General features: G+C 38.3%; 1 pseudogene across 2 annotated transcripts in view; it reads left to right on the top strand.

Moving 5' to 3' along the window:
• Positions 1-19558, top strand: part of SMG1P2 (SMG1 pseudogene 2) — a 68707-nt pseudogene that overhangs the window by 43329 nt on the left and 5820 nt on the right. Inside the window, exons 2-11 of one of the 2 annotated variants that reach the window (NR_135305.1) lie at positions 1061-1118; positions 4140-4303; positions 4883-5038; positions 8738-8874; positions 10174-10232; positions 11511-11724; positions 15397-15522; positions 15901-15973; positions 17206-17303; positions 19028-19200. The product of NR_135305.1 is annotated as an SMG1 pseudogene 2, transcript variant 2 (transcript). The remainder of the gene's footprint in view (positions 1-1060; positions 1119-4139; positions 4304-4882; positions 5039-8737; positions 8875-10173; positions 10233-11510; positions 11725-15396; positions 15523-15900; positions 15974-17205; positions 17304-19027; positions 19201-19558) is intronic. The other variant, NR_135317.1, reaches the window with a different exon arrangement.

Genomic DNA, 19558 nt, shown 5'->3' with positions numbered 1-19558 from the left:
TTTTGACGTGGAATGGTTCTGTTTTGTTTTATTAAATTTGAACTTAAAGTTCTCTGCAAGAAGAGATTTGTATAATAAATTCCCTGAGCCTCTCAAATTAATATTTTAGCCATAGACTCATATTTAGAGCAGTGTTTCTAATGTAATGATACAAGGCCCGGGGTTATTCATAGTTTCACCCTTTCTCTTATTCCTCATTAAAGCATGTTTGAATCCAGGTAAGAGGCATTACAGGGGAAAACCTTGAATTTATTTTTGAAGGGTAAATCATTTCCAAGTGGTATTAACCATTAGTATGGAAAGCAACATATCCTATAACTGCTCTGTGACAGTGAGACTATCTTTGCTACTTTAGAGAATAAGTACATTCCTACTTCATTGGCTTTAGTGCAAATCTCATTTCCTGGTTTATATCCATTACAAATTAGATCTCAGCATGAGAGCAAAATCCCTTAATAAACCTAGGTAAAAGCAATTTGAAGTAATATGATGCTTACTCCAGTGACACCACTAGGTGTGGTGTTTGCATCAAGTCATTTTGGGGTGCTTTATGGAAATGCTTCCTAGTAGGGAAGTCCCTGACTTCACACTTTGCAGAGATGACGCTCTCTCTCTTTTTCTCTCTAATACTTACAAGAATGGACTGCAAGACTACATTTAGTCAGGCGATACCATCCCCACCACATGGTGGATTGTTGGTGTGAGGTCTAAGGATTCCGGTCATTTGAAACCAGTGGCCTCCTAGATTTGTGGCATTTTTCTGTATATTGAGAAGAGGTAACTAAAATAAGTGGTAACTATATTTGCATGTGATTTGTATGTTATAGTTAACATTTAAATTCTCTTATGTACTAAAAATTTTTTGGTTGCCACATTAAGCCTCTTTATCCTGTAAGGCACGGAGTGGCTTTCCACCTCAATTTTTGCTTTAATGTATGAACCCTAATGGGACCATAGTTCAACTAAAGGCACCTAACTCATGAATGATATTTGCTCCATGTTTGAACAACAAATGTTTTAACCCACTGTCTTCACTAATATTGTAACTACTGTCTTACAGATTGACTTGATGCAAAACATCACAAAGGCTCCATGTTACACAGTATGCGATTTTTGAGGTATGAGCTTTAGAAACTTACCTCTCATGTGGCATGTACCTCAGGCTTTAACTTTAGTTTGATCGTTTTGGGGAAATTTATGCATTTCTTTTTTTTTCTCTCCATGATATTTTTAGAATATTAAAGGGGCTGTAGAAGTATTTTTGGATCCTTGTTAGGATTCTTAGACTTAACAGATAGATTTTCTTTTTTCACTAAATTGAGACACTAATTCTGGCAGATGATATCCCTTTCAGCTCTTCTAACTAACTAGCCTAACATTCATGCCTGCTTCTTGGAGTTCAAATCTGCAGTTTCTATTTTGTGGCTTTGATTGCCTCATTTTAAGTTCTCATTCCCGTTCTTTAACAGTTTTCTATTTATTGGACTGGGATGATCTTGTTGGTGCTAACAGCCTGACATTGACATTTTTTGAAACCTAAGCAGTCAAGATTGTATAAAAATAGAAATTTCGTATAAATGCTAAACCATTTTGTGCTTTTAGGTTCAGAATGCTTACAACCTGAGTTCTGGTTGGGGATGCTTTGATCAATTTGTATTAAAATAATTTGGCAGCTAGGGAGTTTTCAGGTATTTCTGAGACAGTGGCTCTATTCCAGTTTTTTTGCTATATTTCTGAAAACACAAATTTTTTTGGGAAAAAAATCTCAGTGTTCATAACTTAGGGGATTTAGAAACCTTATTTCTAACCAATGGGGAAGCTGCTCCTGGTTTTACAGTTTAGTTTGAAATCAGATGCTTCCTAGTTGGAAACACATTGTTGGTAGCCACAGATTACCTGCTTTCTTCAGTGAAGTATTTAAGTTGCTCTATATTGACTGTAAAAACTTGTTTTGATTATATTCATATACTCATGAACTGTTTGTACATTGTCTTTTAGACTGGAAACTGAGTTTATTTTGTATTATGGTCATAATAACTTTTAACATACCCTGCAAACTAAGTGTTTCTTTATAATTCATTATCTTATTTAAGCCTCACAACAACCTTACATGTTAGATAGGTATCATCCTCATTTTATGCAAGAGACAACCAAGGCTTGGAGATCAAGTAATTTGTGCAAAGGCACACATACTTTTCAGTGCTGGAGCTGGGATTTGAGCCCAGATCTTTTTTTAACTTGTATTCTCTGCTGCCTTATGGTACTACTGTGTCACCAGAAAATGATACAAACATTTAACTCTTAATAGTAAAGGTAGTATAGGAGATAAGTAAACATGATGAAAACAGGAAGTGAAGATATGTTTAAATATTGGCAGACTTCAGTTATCTTTGTGTTTCTGAATTAGTCAAGTGCTTATTTTATTTGCTCATCTAATAAGAGCTTACTGTGGCGTACATATAAAGTTCACACCCTGTCAGAAAAGATTATAAGCTCTCTTACATTTCAGTCTCCTTTCAGAAAGTAATGGTATGCTATGATTTATATAGACGCATGTTAAATGTGCTATTTTTAGGTACATAAGGAATGTCTTTTCATTAGTTTAAAAAAGTTATGGTCCATTGAGTTAATATTTTAATGCTTATAGACTTAGTATACTCAGAAAATATTCTCATACATTTTTCTTGAAATTCCATAGATTTAATTTTCCCTTATGTTCGAAGTACTTAGCTTTATGAATAAGCGAACTCTGAATATTAGAAGGTACTCCTTATGGAGCCGTAGTCATTTTAGTATGCTAGGTTTTGAATTTCATGAAGTTTCAGATTGAGATCCTTTGTAAGTAATGACTTGTACCAGTTAGATATCCAAGTTTAATTGGACCTATTGTCTGCATTCTGTATTAACAGTGATTGCAGTAAGTGCAGATCAAGGTGTCCAACTGATTGAGCTCATGCAAAGTTTTATGTTTAGTATTTTTGGGAGCAAGGAAAGACTAATAAACTCTAAATGAAATATATACAGTATACAAACACTGCTGTCACTTTTACACCATAGAGGGGCAAAGCGTAGAGGAATAGGTTAGTTTCTGGCCTTGCCAGTGTCCTAAACTTTTCTAAAAGATTCAGGTTCTAAAAGGTTGAGAAAGCATTTTTAGTAAATATCATAGAAGTGATTTTCTTTTTTTTTTTCCTCAAAGTTGTTCCTCTCAGGAGAAAATCAGTAGGGGAAGAACTTACTTGGATTTTTCATATGCTATAACAGATTATTTTGTTGTCTTCTTTCTTAATAGTTTATGATTGATGGCTGAAAGAGTAACACTCGTGAGAAGTCTTGTAACTCAGCTCTGTTTTACTTATGAGGCAGTTGAAGCGTAGAGCAGATACTTAGATGAGGACAAACTTTTACCCTTGGCTGTACCCTACTTGTTTACTAATAAGCATCAGGTATTATTCTAAACAGTACCTAAATTTTAAATAGATTATGAACTACAACTTTCCGATATAACGTTATTGCATTTCTGATACCTTTTATTTTCTTAAAATGTCTTCTTTTTTACTTTTTAAAATTTTGATTGCTACCTTTACAATTAAGGCATCTTCAATGGGGTCTTCAATACTACAGTACCTAATCAGTACTTAGAAAATAACTTGGTAAGACATTGCCTGTCCCTGACATGCTGCCAGTGTTTTTTATTTTTATGATAGGAAAGGCTGAAATGTTTTGACTGATTAACCCTCTCCATGGGGGAGAATTTAGAAAGAATTATTCTTATTATCAAGTCATGTGAGGAGAACACTGGACCAGAGTAACCAATTGTCCTGTTTTGCCTGGGACAGGAGGCTTTCAATGCTAAAACCAGCAAAGTCACCCTAATCCCAGTAGTTATTCGTATTTCTGAATGGGTCTTTAGAACAGTAGAAGAGACTGAAAAGTTGGCATTTCATCCATTGAGAATCTCTTCCCAGTGAAAGACTTCTTATTAGACGGCTGAGTGCTTACATATAATATATAGTACATATTACATTAAATACAATAGTAATGGTTAAATGTAAAATTTGGGAGAAGAGAGGCTTGTTTAAAGAAAGATTTATTTATGTTATTTAAAGTTCTAATCTTAAACTTTTCTCTTTTTATAGAACTGATAGTGCATCAGCTGACCCAGGTAATTTAAAATATTCTTCATCCAGAGATAGAGGTGGTTCTTCCTCTTACGGACTGCAACCTTCAAATTCAGCTGTGGTGTCTCGGCAAAGGCACGATGATACCAGAGTCCACGCTGACATACAGAATGACGAAAAGGGTATATATATTTTCTTATTGCTACAAGCATGTTTTTTGAACCTACCTATCCCACCTTCTTGCCTTCTTACACCCCCAACTTTCTCGCTTTCTTCTAATATATTTAAAATACGAATAACAAATGCAGTGTTATTTCTGAAAACTTCATAGGACGTTTATCCACTTTATTATTTTTAAAATTTAAAATTTTTCCGTACATAATTCATCAATGCAGTTTTCTTACAAAAAAGATACAATACTATTTTTGTTTTTATTTTCAAAAATATTTAGCTAAGGTTGAAGTTCCTCTTGGCTACTGTCTCTAAACTTCAAGAAAGTTTTAAGGTGCAAAATTTGATTTAATTTAGTTTTCATTTCTTTGCTTATTTTCCAATGAAGGGATCAAAATAAAATTAATTTAACTTCAAAGGTGTATTAAAAGAAATGAAAATGATTTTCAAGGCAGACAGTACAGGAAAAAGGTAGGAGAAGCAAAGGCTGGTTGAGCTGCAGATTGAGTAGTAAGATCCTGAGCTATCAGGAAATTGACTGAATGAAACGAACAATCATATTTAAATAACGTACACATTGCTGTTTGTAGGTGGCTACAGTGTCAATGGAGGATCTGGGGAAAATACTTATGGTCGGAAGTCGTTGGGGCAAGAGCTGAGGGTTAACAATGTGACCAGCCCTGAGTTCACCAGTGTTCAGCATGGCAGTCGTGCTTTAGCCACCAAAGACATGAGGAAATCACAGGGTAAGTCTGGGAAAATGGGGACCAATCACATACACCTTCCAAAGACTTGTATCTCCTCTTATTCTGGATGCCTCTTACTAACGCCTTGCACAGGCATAAGTTGATTAGTCTACTGTGCAGGTAAAAATTGTTTACATTCTTTTCCTGTGAATTGTTAATTTCCCACTAGAAAGGTTATAGTACATTTTAAAAGAGAATTCTCTTAAAACAAGATTAGAAGACTGGATAAGATCTTACAGAAAAGGTTTACCCAATTATCGTGGATATTGAATGTATAGTGCATAGTAGGCTCTTACTACAGCAAGTCCTTGAACTCTTGGGCCTGTGGAGGATATAGATATATATATAGAGGGGGTACTTTTCTGTCTTTTTTTTTTTTTTCTCTTTTAAGTTCAGGGTACATGTGCAGGATGTACAGGTTTGTTATGTAGGTAAACGTGTGCCATGATAGTTTGCTGCACAGATCATCCCATCATCTAGGTATTAAACCCAGCATCCATTAAGCTATTCTTGCTGATGCTCTCCTTCCCCCCGCCCCCTAGAGTGGGTACTTTTCTGGTTTTTTTGTTGTTGTTTTCAATATATTTTTTTGAGACAGAGTCTTGCTCTGTCACCCAGGCTGGAGCGCAGTGCTGCAATCTCTCCTCACTGCAACCTCCGCCTCCCAGGTTCAAGTGATTCTCGTGCCTCAGCCTCCCAAGTAGCTGGGAGTACAGGTACATGCCACCACACCCAGCTGATTTTTGCATTTTTAGTGGAGACAGGGTTTCACCATGTTGGCCAGGCTGGTCTCGAACTCCTGACCTTAAGTGATCACATGTGCTCATTACAGGCGTGAGCCACTGGGCCCTGCCTAGAGTGGGCACTTTTCTAAAGTTAAATACACTGATAGCATTTCTGCCTTATGGCGTAGCCTCACTGTATAGGTGAGTGCCTTGGAAGTTCAGAGGATTGGCCGGGTGCAGTGGCTCACGCCTGTAATCCCAGCACTTTGGGAGGCTGAGACGGGCAGATCACGAGGTCAGGAGATCGAGACCATCCTGGCTAACACGGTGAAACCCTGTCTCTACTGAAAATACAAAAAATTAGCTGGGCGCGGTGGTGGGCGCCTGTAGTCCCAGCTACCCGGGAGGCAGAGCTTGCAGTGAGCTGAGTGCACCACTGCACTCCAGCCTGGGCAACAGAGCGAGACTCCGTCTCAAAAAAACAACAACAAAAAAGAAAGTTCAGAGGATTAGAGGTAATGATAATTTTTTTCCTTAAAGAGAAATTTATCGGTAAAGCTGAGTTATGGGCTTTGTCAGATGTAATTACTTTTTGGACATTTAGTTTTTGACTTTTTTTTTTTTTTATACTGTGTGTGTGCTTCGTGTATCTTGGTGAAAATCTTTGTGCCTGTAGCTTTTATTGTTGGTATATAACTTTTAAAAAACTGATTTCTTTTTATGTTTTCACAAGTGGAATGAATTCAAAGGCTATGTATGCTGTTTGTTAAAACAGAGTGTTTGAAGCCTTAGACTTATGATATTATAGAAGCTAAACAGTGACTCTAAAGTAGTTCAGTAAACAATTCCTCTTCTTCAAAGGTAGTTTGCTAGTGACAGAATTGTAAGTAGAGCCTAATTTCCCAGCTGGTAACTTGATGACATTTTTGGTATCTGTCCTTATTGAAATACTCTATGGGCTACGGATTTGTAAAAATCCTATTCTTCTCTCAGACATTGTAGTTTCTTTTTTTTTTTTTTTTTTTTTTTTAACTTTTAAATTCAGGATACAAGTGCAGATTTGTTACACTGGTAAACTTGTGTCATGAGGGTTTGTAGTATAGATTATTTTATCACCCAGGTATTAAGCCTGGTACCCATTGGTTGTTTCTCTTGATCCTCTCCCTCCTCCCACCCCCCACCCTCCAAAAGGATCCAGTGTGTTTTGCTCCCCTTGTAGTTATTTATTTATTTATCTATGAGATGGAGTATCTCCCTGTCACCCAGGCTGGAGTGCAATGGCGCGATCTCAGGTCACTGCAGCCTCCACCTCCCAGATTAAAGTGATTCTCCTGCCTCAGCCTCCCGAGTAGCTGGGATTACAGGAGCGTGCCACCATGCCCGGCTAATTTTTTGTATCTTTAGTAGAGACGAAGTTCCACCATGTTGGCCAGGCAGGTCTCAATCTCCTGACCCCGTGATCTGCCCTCCTCGGCCTCCCAAAGTGCTGGGATTACAGGTGTGAGCCACCACGCCCAGCCTTCTGGTTTCTTTTATTATCAATTTTTTCTCATACCTTAGAAATGAAACTGTCAGACCCTTTGTGATTTGTTGTTTACGTATGTATTGGCTAATTATGGTAAATAGCACAGTTGAAAATGTTTTGCAAAAATTGAGTTTTTTGTTTTGTTTTGTTTTTTGAGACAGTCTCGCTCTGTCACGCAGGCTGGAATGCACTAGTGTGATTTCACTGCAACCTTTGCTTCCCAGGCTAAAGCGATCCTCCCACCTCAGCCTCCTGAGTAGCTGGGATTACAGGCATGTGCCACTGTGCCCAGCTAATTTTTGTATTTTTCGTAGAGATGGGGTTGTACCATGTTGCCGATGCTGGTCTCGAACTCCTGGGCTCAAGTGATCTGCCTGCCTTGCCCTTCCAAAGTGCTGGGTAATTACAGGGAAGAGCCACCTCGCCCAGCAAAAATCTAGTTTTTAAAGGCATTGTTAATATACTAATAGTATTCACTATTGTGTGCTTGTTCTTGTGATTAAAAAATAAGGGGAGAAAAGTTGTGGTTTGCTACCTTTCTAGTGGAGGCATGCCTTGCATGTGGTAGATGATAATTAGACATTTGTTGAACTAAATGTGTGATTATGGCTCCCCAAAACTTCATCCCAGGGAAATGATGATAATGTGAATAAGAGGCTTTCCTCCAGTGGGATACCTAGATGATAAGTAGAAGCCTATATCCTGTTTTTACTCGATTGAGGCTTTATCCGTACCCCTTGGAAGTTGTTTAATTTACCTACACCCAGGCTCTTTACCTGCATGTTGAAAACAGTTTGGAATGGACCCAAAGGAAGTTGTTACTAAGGCCTTTCTTTTTTCTCTCCCAGCCAGTCCTCTGGAATGAGGTGTTCAGCTGGCCTAGGGTTATTCATTTCTCGTTTCCTTCAGCAAATATTTTTTTGAGGGTCTGTTATGTGCCAGGCACTCTGCTGGGATTTGGAATATAGAGTTGAACAAAAGAGCGATAGGACCTATATTCCCTGAGCTTTTATTGACCAGTGGACTGTGACTTTTGATGTAATTTTATTTTTGAGAGAGGGTCTTGCTCTGTCACCCAGGCTGGAGTGCAGTGGGGTGATCTCGGCTCACTGCAACCTCCACCTCATGGGCTCCAGTGATTCTCCTGCCTCAGCCTCCCGAGTAGCTGGGACTACAGGTGCACACCACCTTGGCTGGCTAGTTTATGTAATTTTTTGTGTGTCTGTGGAGACAGGGTTTCACCATGTTGCCCAGGCTGGTCTCAAACTCCTGAACTGATGTGATCTACCCGCCTTCCAAAGTACTGGGATTACAGGCATGAGCCACCATAATAATTTAATTATTATTTAAATAATTTTTAATTTTAAAAATTTAAAAATTATTTTAAAATTTAAAAATTCCTTTGCTTATTTATACTCAATGGACAACAAAATGTTTATATATTCACAGAGAGATCGATGTCTTATTGTGATGAGTCTCGACTGTCAAATCTTCTTCGGAGGATCACCCGGGAAGACGACAGAGACTGAAGATTGGTCACTGTAAAGCAGTTGAAAGAATTTATTCAGCAACCAGAAAATAAGCTGGTAAGTATAGTATGTTTGGAAATATGAGGATTTTTGTGTTTCCATAATAAACTAGGTAATGCTACCTTGAGTAGTTTAAGAATGGGGAAAGTCTGTATTATGATGATCAAGAACTTAATGCTCTCTAATATGTAATTTCTTTTTCTTCTTAAAGACAAGATCTTGCTCTCACCCAGGCTGGAGTGCAGTGGCACAATCATAGCTCACTGCAGTCTCAAACTCCTGGATTCAAGCTATCCTCCCGCTGTGGCCTCCTGAGTAGCTGGGACTTCAGGCATGTGCCACTACACCTGGCTGAGGTGGAAGAATCACTTGAGCCCAGGAATTCAGGGTTGCAGTGAGATATGATCACACCTCTGCATGTCAACCTGGGCGACAGAGGGAGTCCTTGTCTCTTAAAACAACAACAGAAATGTAACAAAGTATAGGAAGGGTTAAATTTTTTTCTTCACTTTCTTTACACCAATTAAGAACTTGATATGGGCCAGGTGTGGTGGCTCATGCCTGTAATCCCAGCATTTTGGGAGGCCAAGGTGGGCGGATCACCTGAGTTCAGGAGTTCGATACCAGCCTGCCCAACATAGTGAAGCCCCATCTCTACTAAAAATACAAAATTAGCTGGGCGTGGTGGCACATGACCGTAATTCCAGCTACATGGGAGGCTGTGGCAGGAGAATCGCTTGAACCCAGGAGACGGAGGTTGCAGTGAGCTGAGATCACGCCATTGCACTCCAGCCTGGGCGAAAAGAGTGAAACTCCATCTTAAAAAAAAAAAAAAAAAAAGAACTTGACAATGAGCAGGAGAAAATTAATGAAAATGGTCTAGTGAGGCAGATGACACTTGGATCAAAGCAAGTTTCTCCTCCTTCCAAATTTTATTATGAGTAGTTTCAAATATATAGCAAGTTGAAAGAATTTGACATTGAATCTGTTAAACCCATCATCTAATTTTTGTCGTTAATGTTTTGCCCTAAATACTGCCTTGTCACATATCTCTCCATCTATCCCTCCATCCATCAGTCAATTTTTCAAATGGATTTCAAAGTAAATAAAACAAACTTTTTGAGTTTATTTTTTTGTTGATGATCACAGCTCTATGTTTCCAGTGGGTGAATTTCTTTCATAGGCTGAAAGGAAACATGACATTCCTGATACATGCTCATTGGGGAGTGGGAATAATAAAGAAAGTAAAGTACTGTTGAATTAGAATTTGGAGGGGAAGACAAGTAAAAAAGTACACAATGCTATTCTTAAAAGTATAGGAATTTGAAGTTTTTATAAATGTGTTTTCTTTTAAAGGTACTAGTTAAACAATTGGATAATATCTTGGCTGCTGCACATGATGTGCTTAATGAAAGGTAAGTAACTAATAATGGTTCGGTTTAAATGACTTTAAAATATATTTTTAGAAATTACTTAACAATACACAAGAAGACAAACCCACTGGCTTTGTTTATGAACATCTATTGACATTTCAGTGGGTCTTGTCATTTTTATCTGCATTAATTATGTGTTAATTACGGTTGAATACAAATGGAATCCACTTGAAAAGAATATTTATTTTTTGAGCCAGAGTCTCACCGTGTCGCCCAGGCTGGAGTGCAGTGGTGCGATCTCAGCTCACTGCAACCTCCACCTCCCGGGTTCAAGTGATTCTCCTGCCTCAGCCTCCCGAGTAGCTGGGACTACAGGCATGCACCACAACTGCCAGCTAATTTTTGTATTTTTAGTAGAGACAGGGTTTCACCATGTTGGCCAGGCTGGTCTGGAACTCCTGACCTCAGGTGATCCACCCACCTTAGCCTTCCAAAGTGTTGGGATTACAGGCATGAGCCACCGTGCCTGGCTGGAATATTTTATTTTTTTAATTTACTAGTCTCACTGGATAACTGAGTCTTGACTTATGGAATGGCATAAACTCTTGATGCAGGCATGAAGAATAAAATTAGTTTTTGTAAACTAGAGAATTTGAAACTGCTTAGAGAATAGAGGTAAAAAGGAATTTCCTTCTTTGGGTAAGAGTGGATCCAAACCATATATTCTCTGGCTATTAGCGTCTCCAGAGGTGTGTGGTCATTTTTTGTTATGGTGATTCCCAAAGATTTGCAGTGTTGGCAAGTACCCAAAATTTATCTCAGCTGGTCATAAACCTTAGTGCCTTTTGATGGTTTTGTTTTATAGAGTTACTTATTAAAGTTCTATGTAAATCATTACTGTTATCCTTTTAAGTTTCTGTATTTAACTATTACCATTTTTTATTTTATAGTCATTACATATTGGATATTATGTAGAATGTAGTTATGTATAGAGTGTTTTATCTAATTATTTGTTGCTGCCCTTTTCTGAGAGTTATTTAATACAGTTTGAGATGGAATTTAGCATTTTTGGGCCTTCCCTCACTGTTTGTAAATAATTGATTTTGTAAAAAGAAAGTAATGTCAGACAGATACTTGAGGGCAATGCAGGCTAGACAGAATGTAGTATTTAGAGTGGAGAAAATTTCAACCTTTTATGTAGTTTGAATAGAAATTTAAAAAACCACTTAAGACATTCTTTTGTAAGATGTATTACTCGTGTCATCATAGAAAACTTAAGCCTTTTGTGTGTGTTTTTTGTTTGCATTAAAATAAACACAGTAGCAAATTGCTTCAGGAGTTGAGACAGGAGGGAGCTTGCTGTCTTGGCCTTCTTTGTGCTTCTCTGAGCTATGAGGCTGAGAAGATCTTCAAGTGGATTTTTAGCAAATTTAGCTCATCTGCAAAAGATGAAGTTAAACTCCTCTACTTATGTGCCACCTACAAAGCACTAGAGACTGTAGGAGAAAAGAAAGCCTTTTCATCTGTAATGCAGGTAAGAATGAAGGGGGAAAAATGCATGATGTACTTGGGAAGAAAATTGTCCCTTAACACATGTCCTTGGAGGGGAGCTTGAAGAAGGGAAACATAGAATAGGGGTTATCTACTGATAGGAAATATGTTTTAAAAATTCCTCTTTCTCAGTTTGAGTAAAGGATACACTGTTCAAGGATTAGTGCTACATACATATATGCATATATGTGGAGAAAGAGGGAGAGATTTCTTCTAAGAAATTGGCTTACACGCCGGGTGCGGTGGCTCACGTCTGTTATCCCAGCACTTTGGGAGGCCGAGGCAGGCGGATCATGAGGTCAGGAGATCGAGACCATCCTGGCTAACATAGTGAAACCCCATATCTACTAAAAATACAAAAAAAATTAGCCGGGCGTGGTGGTGGGCACCTGTAGTCTCAACTAATTGGGAGACTGAGGCAGGAGAATGCCGTGAACCTGGGAGGCGGAGCTTGCAGTGAGTCGAGATCGCGCCACTGCACTCCAGCCTGGGCAACAGAGTGAGACTCTGTCTCAAAAGAAAAAAAAAGATACACGTTGAAGTTAGATTTGAAATAAGTTAGTTTTAAGATTTTTTTCCTCAGCCAAGCGCGGTGGCCTATATGCCTGTAATCCTAGCACTTTGGGAGGCCGAGGTGGGAACATCATGAGGTCAAGGGATCGAAACCATCCCGGCCAACATGGTGAAACCCCGTCTCTACTAACAATACAAAAATTAGCCAGGCATGGTGGCACGTGCCTGTAGTCCCAGCTACTCAGGAGGCTGAGGCAGGAGAATCGCTTGAACCCGGGAGGCCGAGGTTGCAGTGAGCCGAGATCACACCATTGCCTGGGCAACAGAGCCAGACTCTGTCTCAAAAAAAAAAAAAAAAAAAAAAAAAAAAGGATTTTTTTCCTCTTTGGTTTTTAGAAATGTTTTTTTGAGATTGCTTAGGACCAGAATGATTTGCAAATTTGAAAATAGGAACTCCACTAGGAATGCTGGATAGAAGAGTGCTTCACATTTGTAGAGGGAGACAAGAACTAAATATCACAACTTCTTTCTGAGCCTTTTGGTTTGCTAACGTGCCCCAAATTCTTATTCCAAATGGTATAAGATAATTATGTGTAAATGAATACCAGCTCTACTTAGTTTTATTTCACATTTGTGTATCTGAATATATTAAAACATCATTCCTTTTTTTTTTTTTTGATGCAGAGTCTTGCTCTGTTGTCCAGCCTGGAGTGCAGTGGCATGATCTCGGCTCACTGCAACTTCTGCCTCCCAGGTTCAAGCGATTCTCCTGCCTCAGCCTCCCGAGTAGCTGGTATTACAGGAGTGTGCCATTAGCCTGGCTAATTTTTGTATTTTTAGTAGAGATGGGGTTTCATTGTGTTGGCCATGCTGGTCTTGAACTCCTGACCTCAAGTGATCCTCCTGCCTCAGCCTCCCAAAGTACTGTGATTAGTGTCATGAGCCACCACACCTGGCCTAAAAGATCATTGATTTAGTTTTGAGTAAGATTTTAAGTGATTAAATTATGGTATTGTTGTGTTTGGAATATCTGATATTAGGGTTTTTTTTTTAATACAGTTTTTGATATGCTTTATTTTGGGTATGTAGTTTAAAAAATATAAAGGAAATATAAGGAATGTTCTTTTTTTTTTTTTTTAAATAAAAAATGTATTTTTAACTGGGCATGGTGGCTCACTCCTGTAACCCCAGCACTGTGGGAGGCTGAGGCCGGTGAATTGCCTGAGTCCAGGAGTTTGAGACCAGCCTGGGCAACATGGTGAAACCCTGTTTCTATCAAAAAAAGGAAAAAAAAAAAGTCGGGCGTGGTGGCATGCATCTGTAATCCCAGCTACTTGGAGGCTGAGGCAGGAGGATCGCTTGTGCCTGGGAGGTTGAAGCTACAGTGAGCTGTGGTCAAGCTACTGCACTCCATTATAGGCAACCCTGTCTCAAAAAAGCAAAACAAAACGAAACATTTTCCCCCTTGATTATAGAGGTTTGAGAAAAATTTGAGGGAGGATTCAGAAAATTACCTGTAACTGAACAGAATGCCACCAGCTTGGGCTTATTCTGCATGCATAATTATGAACATTTTCCCATCTCTTGTGAAAATTCTCACATTCATAGAAAGATAGATGCACCAGTAAAATAAATACCTGTAAATACGATAATAATTTCATAATATATGCTTCACCTAGATTTACCAGTTACTAATATTTTGCCACAGTTTTATTTTCTCACACACTTTTGTTGAGCATCTGAAAACCATATACATGATGACAGTTCACCCCATAATGTTTTAGTATGCATCTCCCAAGAATAAGGTTTTTCTTCTGTATAACAAGAATATTGTAATCATACCTAAGAAAATGAATTTTATTACATATGTGTTCTATATTCAAATTTCTGTAATTACCCTTAAGATGTCTTTTAAATGATTTTTAGCATTGATAGTCTGTGCCTGTGTAGATTATAACATTGGCTATTGCAAAATAATGGTTTTCTTTTTCTCTTTTTTTTTTTTTTTGAGATGTAATCTTGCTCTATTGTCCAAGCTGGAGGGCAGTGGCGCGATCTCGGCTCACTGCAACCTCCGCCTCCCAGGTTCAAGCAGTTCTCTTGCTTCAGCCTCCTGAGTAGCTGGGATTACAGGCATGTGCCACTGTGCTCTGTTAATTTTTATATTTTTAGTAGAGACGGAGTTCATCATGCTGGCCAAGCTGGTCTTGAACTCCTGACCTCAGGTGATCCACCTGCCTCGTCCTCCCAAAGTGCTGGGGTTACAGGTGTGAGCCACTGCACCCAGCGTAAAATGATGGTTTTCTGATTCTAGCATTTCTTTTATAAGATTGCTATGTAAAGCGCAGCTTTTCCTTTTTTAGGGAAAAATGTTTTTTAACAGCTGCAAAATAAATATTCTTTCAATGGAATGACAAATAGTTATTTATTATTTTATTTTTGCCATATATTTATTTTAAAAATTTATGTATAATGGTAACCTGAGCCTGCATGTTATTCATGTGTGGTGCCATACTGATCTTCTTTAATTTTAATATGAAGCAAGTACTAATATACTAAAGCATAAATTATATAAAATTTGCTTTATATTTTGGATTGCAAAGTAATTGTTGTACTTTATAGAAAAGTTTCCCAAATCCATTTTACTTTTTTGTATTTGAAATTTAATCACAGGTAGAATCTTAAAGAGAGCATTTAGGGATATTGTAAACAGATGTTATTAAGGACTAATGTTAACTGATGTCAAAGGACTAATATTAACAAACATTGAAGAGGAGAAAGCAGTATTTGTTTTTAGCTTAACATCTTAGTGGAGCGAAATATTTTCAATTTATTTATTTATTTATTAATTATTATTTTTTTTGAGATGGACTCTGGCTGTATTGTCCAGGCTGGAGTGCAGCGGTGCAATCTCAGCTCACTGCAACCTCTGCCTCCTGGGTTCAAGCGATTCTTGTGTCTCAGCCTCCCAAGCAGTTGGGATTTACAAGTGAATTTTTTTTTTTTTTTAACTAAAACTACAGAATCTATTTTTCTTGGTCTCATACTCAGTTTTTTATGTAGTCAGTAAATAATGAACCTAATTTGCTTGTTTTCTCCCTATTTTGTTGAATGTTCACGGTTTGTAACTTTTATTTTTAAGCTTGTAATGACCAGCCTGCAGTCAATTCTTGAAAATGTGGATACACCAGAATTGCTTTGCAAATGTGTTAAGTGCATTCTTTTGGTGGCTCGATGTTACCCTCATATTTTCAGCGCTAATTTTAGGGTGAGTTCCTCATTCCGTTGTTCAGATCATGGGGTGAGGGGGATGGTTGTGTGTGTGAGGAACTGAGGAATCAGATGGAAAACAATGCCTCTGCTCCTTTGAATATAATCAGTGATATTTGAGGTTCCAGGGTTAAATGCCGCATTTTTCTTTCTGACGTTCGTACCTTAAAATATTTGAAGAAAATAAACTATTTCATTGTTGTCAGAAATGTAGTTCTTTTATTTTCCTGCCCCTCTCCCCTTTCTAAGTTTCTAGAATGTCAAGTAGGTAGAACATAGATGCTCCTTTTAGGATCTTTTGCTGTGAAATGGTCCACAGGTGAATGGCAGTAATATCTTAAAATGATTGGCCCCCTCTCTCTTTGTTTCCATCAAGGATACAGTTGATATATTAGTTGGATGGCATAGAGATCATACTCAGAAACCTTCGCTCACGCAGCAGGTATCTGGTAAGTCTTGCAGCCTATACCAGTTATTTAAATACTGTCGGGGAGGAGCAGTGGTCCCCCAGTGACCATCTATCAATACCATTTCTTTTTTTTTTTTTTTGAGACGGAGTCTCGCTCTGTCGCCCAGGCCGGACTGCGGACTGCAGTGGCGCAATCTCGGCTCACTGCAAGCTCCGCTTCCCGGGTTCACGCCATTCTCCTGCCTCAGCCTCCCGAGTAGCTGGGACTACAGGCGCCCGCCACCGCGCCCGGCTAATTTTTTGTATTTTTAGTAGAGACGGGGTTTCACCTTGTTAGCCAGGATGGTCTTGATCTCCTGACCTCATGATCCACCCGCCTCGGCCTCCCAAAGTGCTGGGATTACAGGCGTGAGCCACCGCGCCCGGCCAATACCATTTCTTTAATAATGCAAGAAAACTAATTCAGAGAAATGTTTTATTGTAAATGAACGTGACTTGTTAGCTAAATATATATTTTCAGAGGAAATTACTAGTAGGTGGGTAGAGTAAGTACAGACAGGACTTACCCAAGTTATTTGTAGTTTGTACTGGTAGGAAAGTATATGGTAAGAATATATTGCAGTGGCAATACCCTGAAGTGGACAATGGAAGATCCAAGTTATTTGTCACATTTTATTGTTTTTCTGGTTATTTTTTTAAAAAAGGAAATATAGGGTTAATTTGGAGAATTGTCATAAATGAGAAATGGTTTTGTTTCCCATTTTTTTGGATTTAAGTGAATGACTAGCGTGGCTCATTTGCACATTTCAGCTTGTTTCAAGTGTCATAGTTTCTCGTAACTTACTTGGTGTAATAAACTTTTGAAAATAGGATATTCAGGTGATAGTGGTCTGTTTCATTTTCACTGAGGAGATGAGTATACACCTTTAATGGTTAGATGTGGCCCTGGGATTAGCCAGGCCAATGGTAGATTGTGGCATTTTAGTCTTAAGTCATGTGTAGTGACAATATAGATATGAAATTTACTGAAAAAGTAAGGAAATAACATTTACAAGTTAATTTCTGCAGAAATTAAAGAGGTATTAAAGAGGTATTGGTTAATCGTGATCAGCATGTTTAGCAGTCTTAATTTTATGATATAGGACATGTTTTAGGGTATGCTGCTTGAAAACCAGATACTTTTTAAAACGAGCCTCTTATATTTTTTTAATTTGGATTTTTTGGTGTTTTTTCTCCCCCCTACCCTTTCACAATTTCTTATACGATTCCAAGGGTGGTTGCAGAGTTTGGAGCCATTTTGGGTAGCTGATCTTGCATTTCCTACGACTCTTCTTGGTCAGTTTCTAGAAGACATGGAAGCATATGCTGAGGTGAGTATATAGAAAGCTGTTTCTTAAAATTTTGGTTAAGAAAAAATCTTAAAATTGTGCTAGATTTATTTTAAAATGGCTCAGACCTCCTGACATTTAAGCAGAAATTACAAGCCCATCGCAATATTTTGAAAAAAAATTTTTTTTTGAGACGGAGTCTCGCTCTGTCACTCAGGCTGGAGTGCAATGGCACGATCTCAGCTCACTGCAACCTCCACCTCCTGGGTTCAAATGATTCTCCTGCCTCAGCCTCCTGAGTAGCTGGAATTACAGGTGCCCGCCACTACGCCCAGCTAATTTTTGTATTTTTAGTAGAGACGGGGTTTCACCGTGTTGGCCAGGCTGGTCTCAAACTCCTGACCACTGGTGATCCACCCACATCGGCCTCCCAAAGTGCTGGGATTATAGGCATGAGCCCCCGTGCCCAGTCAGTATTTTAAACATTTATTTCAGATGTGTTTAAATTACCAGGAGAATTACTGGAGAGACTAAAAGAAACGTTGCAAGCTTCGTATTTCGCAAAGCTTTACATACTCTTGGTAGCTGGTATTTTTCTAAAGACATTTTTTGTTATTTATTTTTATTTTTTGTCCCCAGTCTTCAGAGTCTTAAAGCAAATTGATGTTGTGTTATAAAAAAACACAAAACACCAAAAGCTCCTAAAGATTTTCCTCTTACATATGTACAGGAGAACTTGAATCGTACTTTGGAGGACAAGCCTTGGCTTCAGCCAGCTTTTGTGGCTGTACGAATATAGCATAGGAGCTTTAAGAGCGCTGCTGAAGCCTCTGTTACTGGTACTTGGCTTTTCTGGCCGCACTGTCATGGCTTAACTCTGTGCCATCTCTTATCTGAATCTCTTTGTGTTTCTCCCCTATTCAGATCAACCAATCAAGGCTCCCATAAAGATTTTGGCCTCATCTTGTTTTTTTCATCTTTGCTGCTTGTAGTCAACAGGAATTCAGTACCTTTAGCTGTACTGATGTGTTTACTCTTTCCTAGAAAAGCAAGGAAATGTTTTGCTTCTGCGTTGTTTTTTCTTTGCCCCCACACCTAGAATGTCTTTTTTCACAGCCCACGTTTAAAGCTGATCTACCTCTCATAAGCCACACATTCTAGTTTGTAGAGATGTTTCCCCTTGTTATCCTTAAGATCTCATTCTCTTCTGTTATTTTGGTGCTTAATTTTAGGTAGATGTATACATTGGTTCTAGTATCCTAGTTTTTGCGAATCTTGTCCTTTTCATATATCGTACTTCTTCAGTTACACATCTGTAGACCAGGTCTTGTAATCTCCCTTTGCTCTTCATGTGCATGCTCTTGGTTTGGAGGACTTACTGTTGAGCTGAGTGGCTCAAAGAATACCTAGAATGAGATTTTTAGCCAAAAACTAATTCAGGAGTGGCAAAAGCTTCCGTCTTCATTTATACCTACATATAACTAGAGCATATGTGCTAGAATTTATTTTTCCCCAACAGCTTTCTGAGTTGATTTAAGAGATTATTTCCTTAATTTGTTGTCTATTGGGTTTAATGTTGGCTTTTTGAAATAATTAGGTAAAACCCATTTTTATATTCAGAGTCATGAATATTCTCATGGGCCACAGTTCTCTTTCTAAAAGCCTAAAAATCTATTCTAAAATGAATTGATTGAAATATTTTAGAGTTTTTTGTTTTTTTTTAAACAATGTACTACTTATTAAGAATGCTGTGAATTCACATCTAGGACCTCAGCCATGTGGCCTCTGGGGAATCAGTGGATGAAGACGTCCCTCCTCCATCAGTGTCATCACCAAAGCTGGCTGCGCTTCTCCGGGTATTTAGTACTGTGCTGAGGAGCATTGGGGAACGCTTCAGCCCAATTCGGGTCCTCCAATTACTGAGGCATACGTAACAGTTGTAAGTGCTTTTGGGCATTTGAAGTGTCATTCAAAAATAAAATTGTTTTACATTGTAAATGATTCTCTTTACCAGGTGAACTGTTATTAATCCTTCATTTGTTTAGCATGTGTGTATGTATGTATATATGTATATATTGTCTGACTGCTTTCTTAAATAACCAGAAAAGCAGGGAATCCTGTTATATCTCATCCTCCTTTCATCCAACTCCCCTACCCTCCCATGACAAAAGGCCACTCTGAATTTTTAAATCTTATTCTTTCATTTTTAAATAATATATCTTATAATTTTACTTTTAAATTATTGGGTTTCCTTTTAGTTTTTCAACATATTACGAATAGCACACTATAGGAGAAGC

The sequence above is a fragment of the Homo sapiens genome, chromosome 16, assembly GCF_000001405.40.
Source record: "Homo sapiens chromosome 16, GRCh38.p14 Primary Assembly".
Classification (NCBI taxonomy): Eukaryota; Metazoa; Chordata; class Mammalia; order Primates; family Hominidae; genus Homo; species Homo sapiens.
Note: the sequence above shows the minus strand (reverse complement) of the source record. Positions and strands in the feature narration are given on the sequence as shown.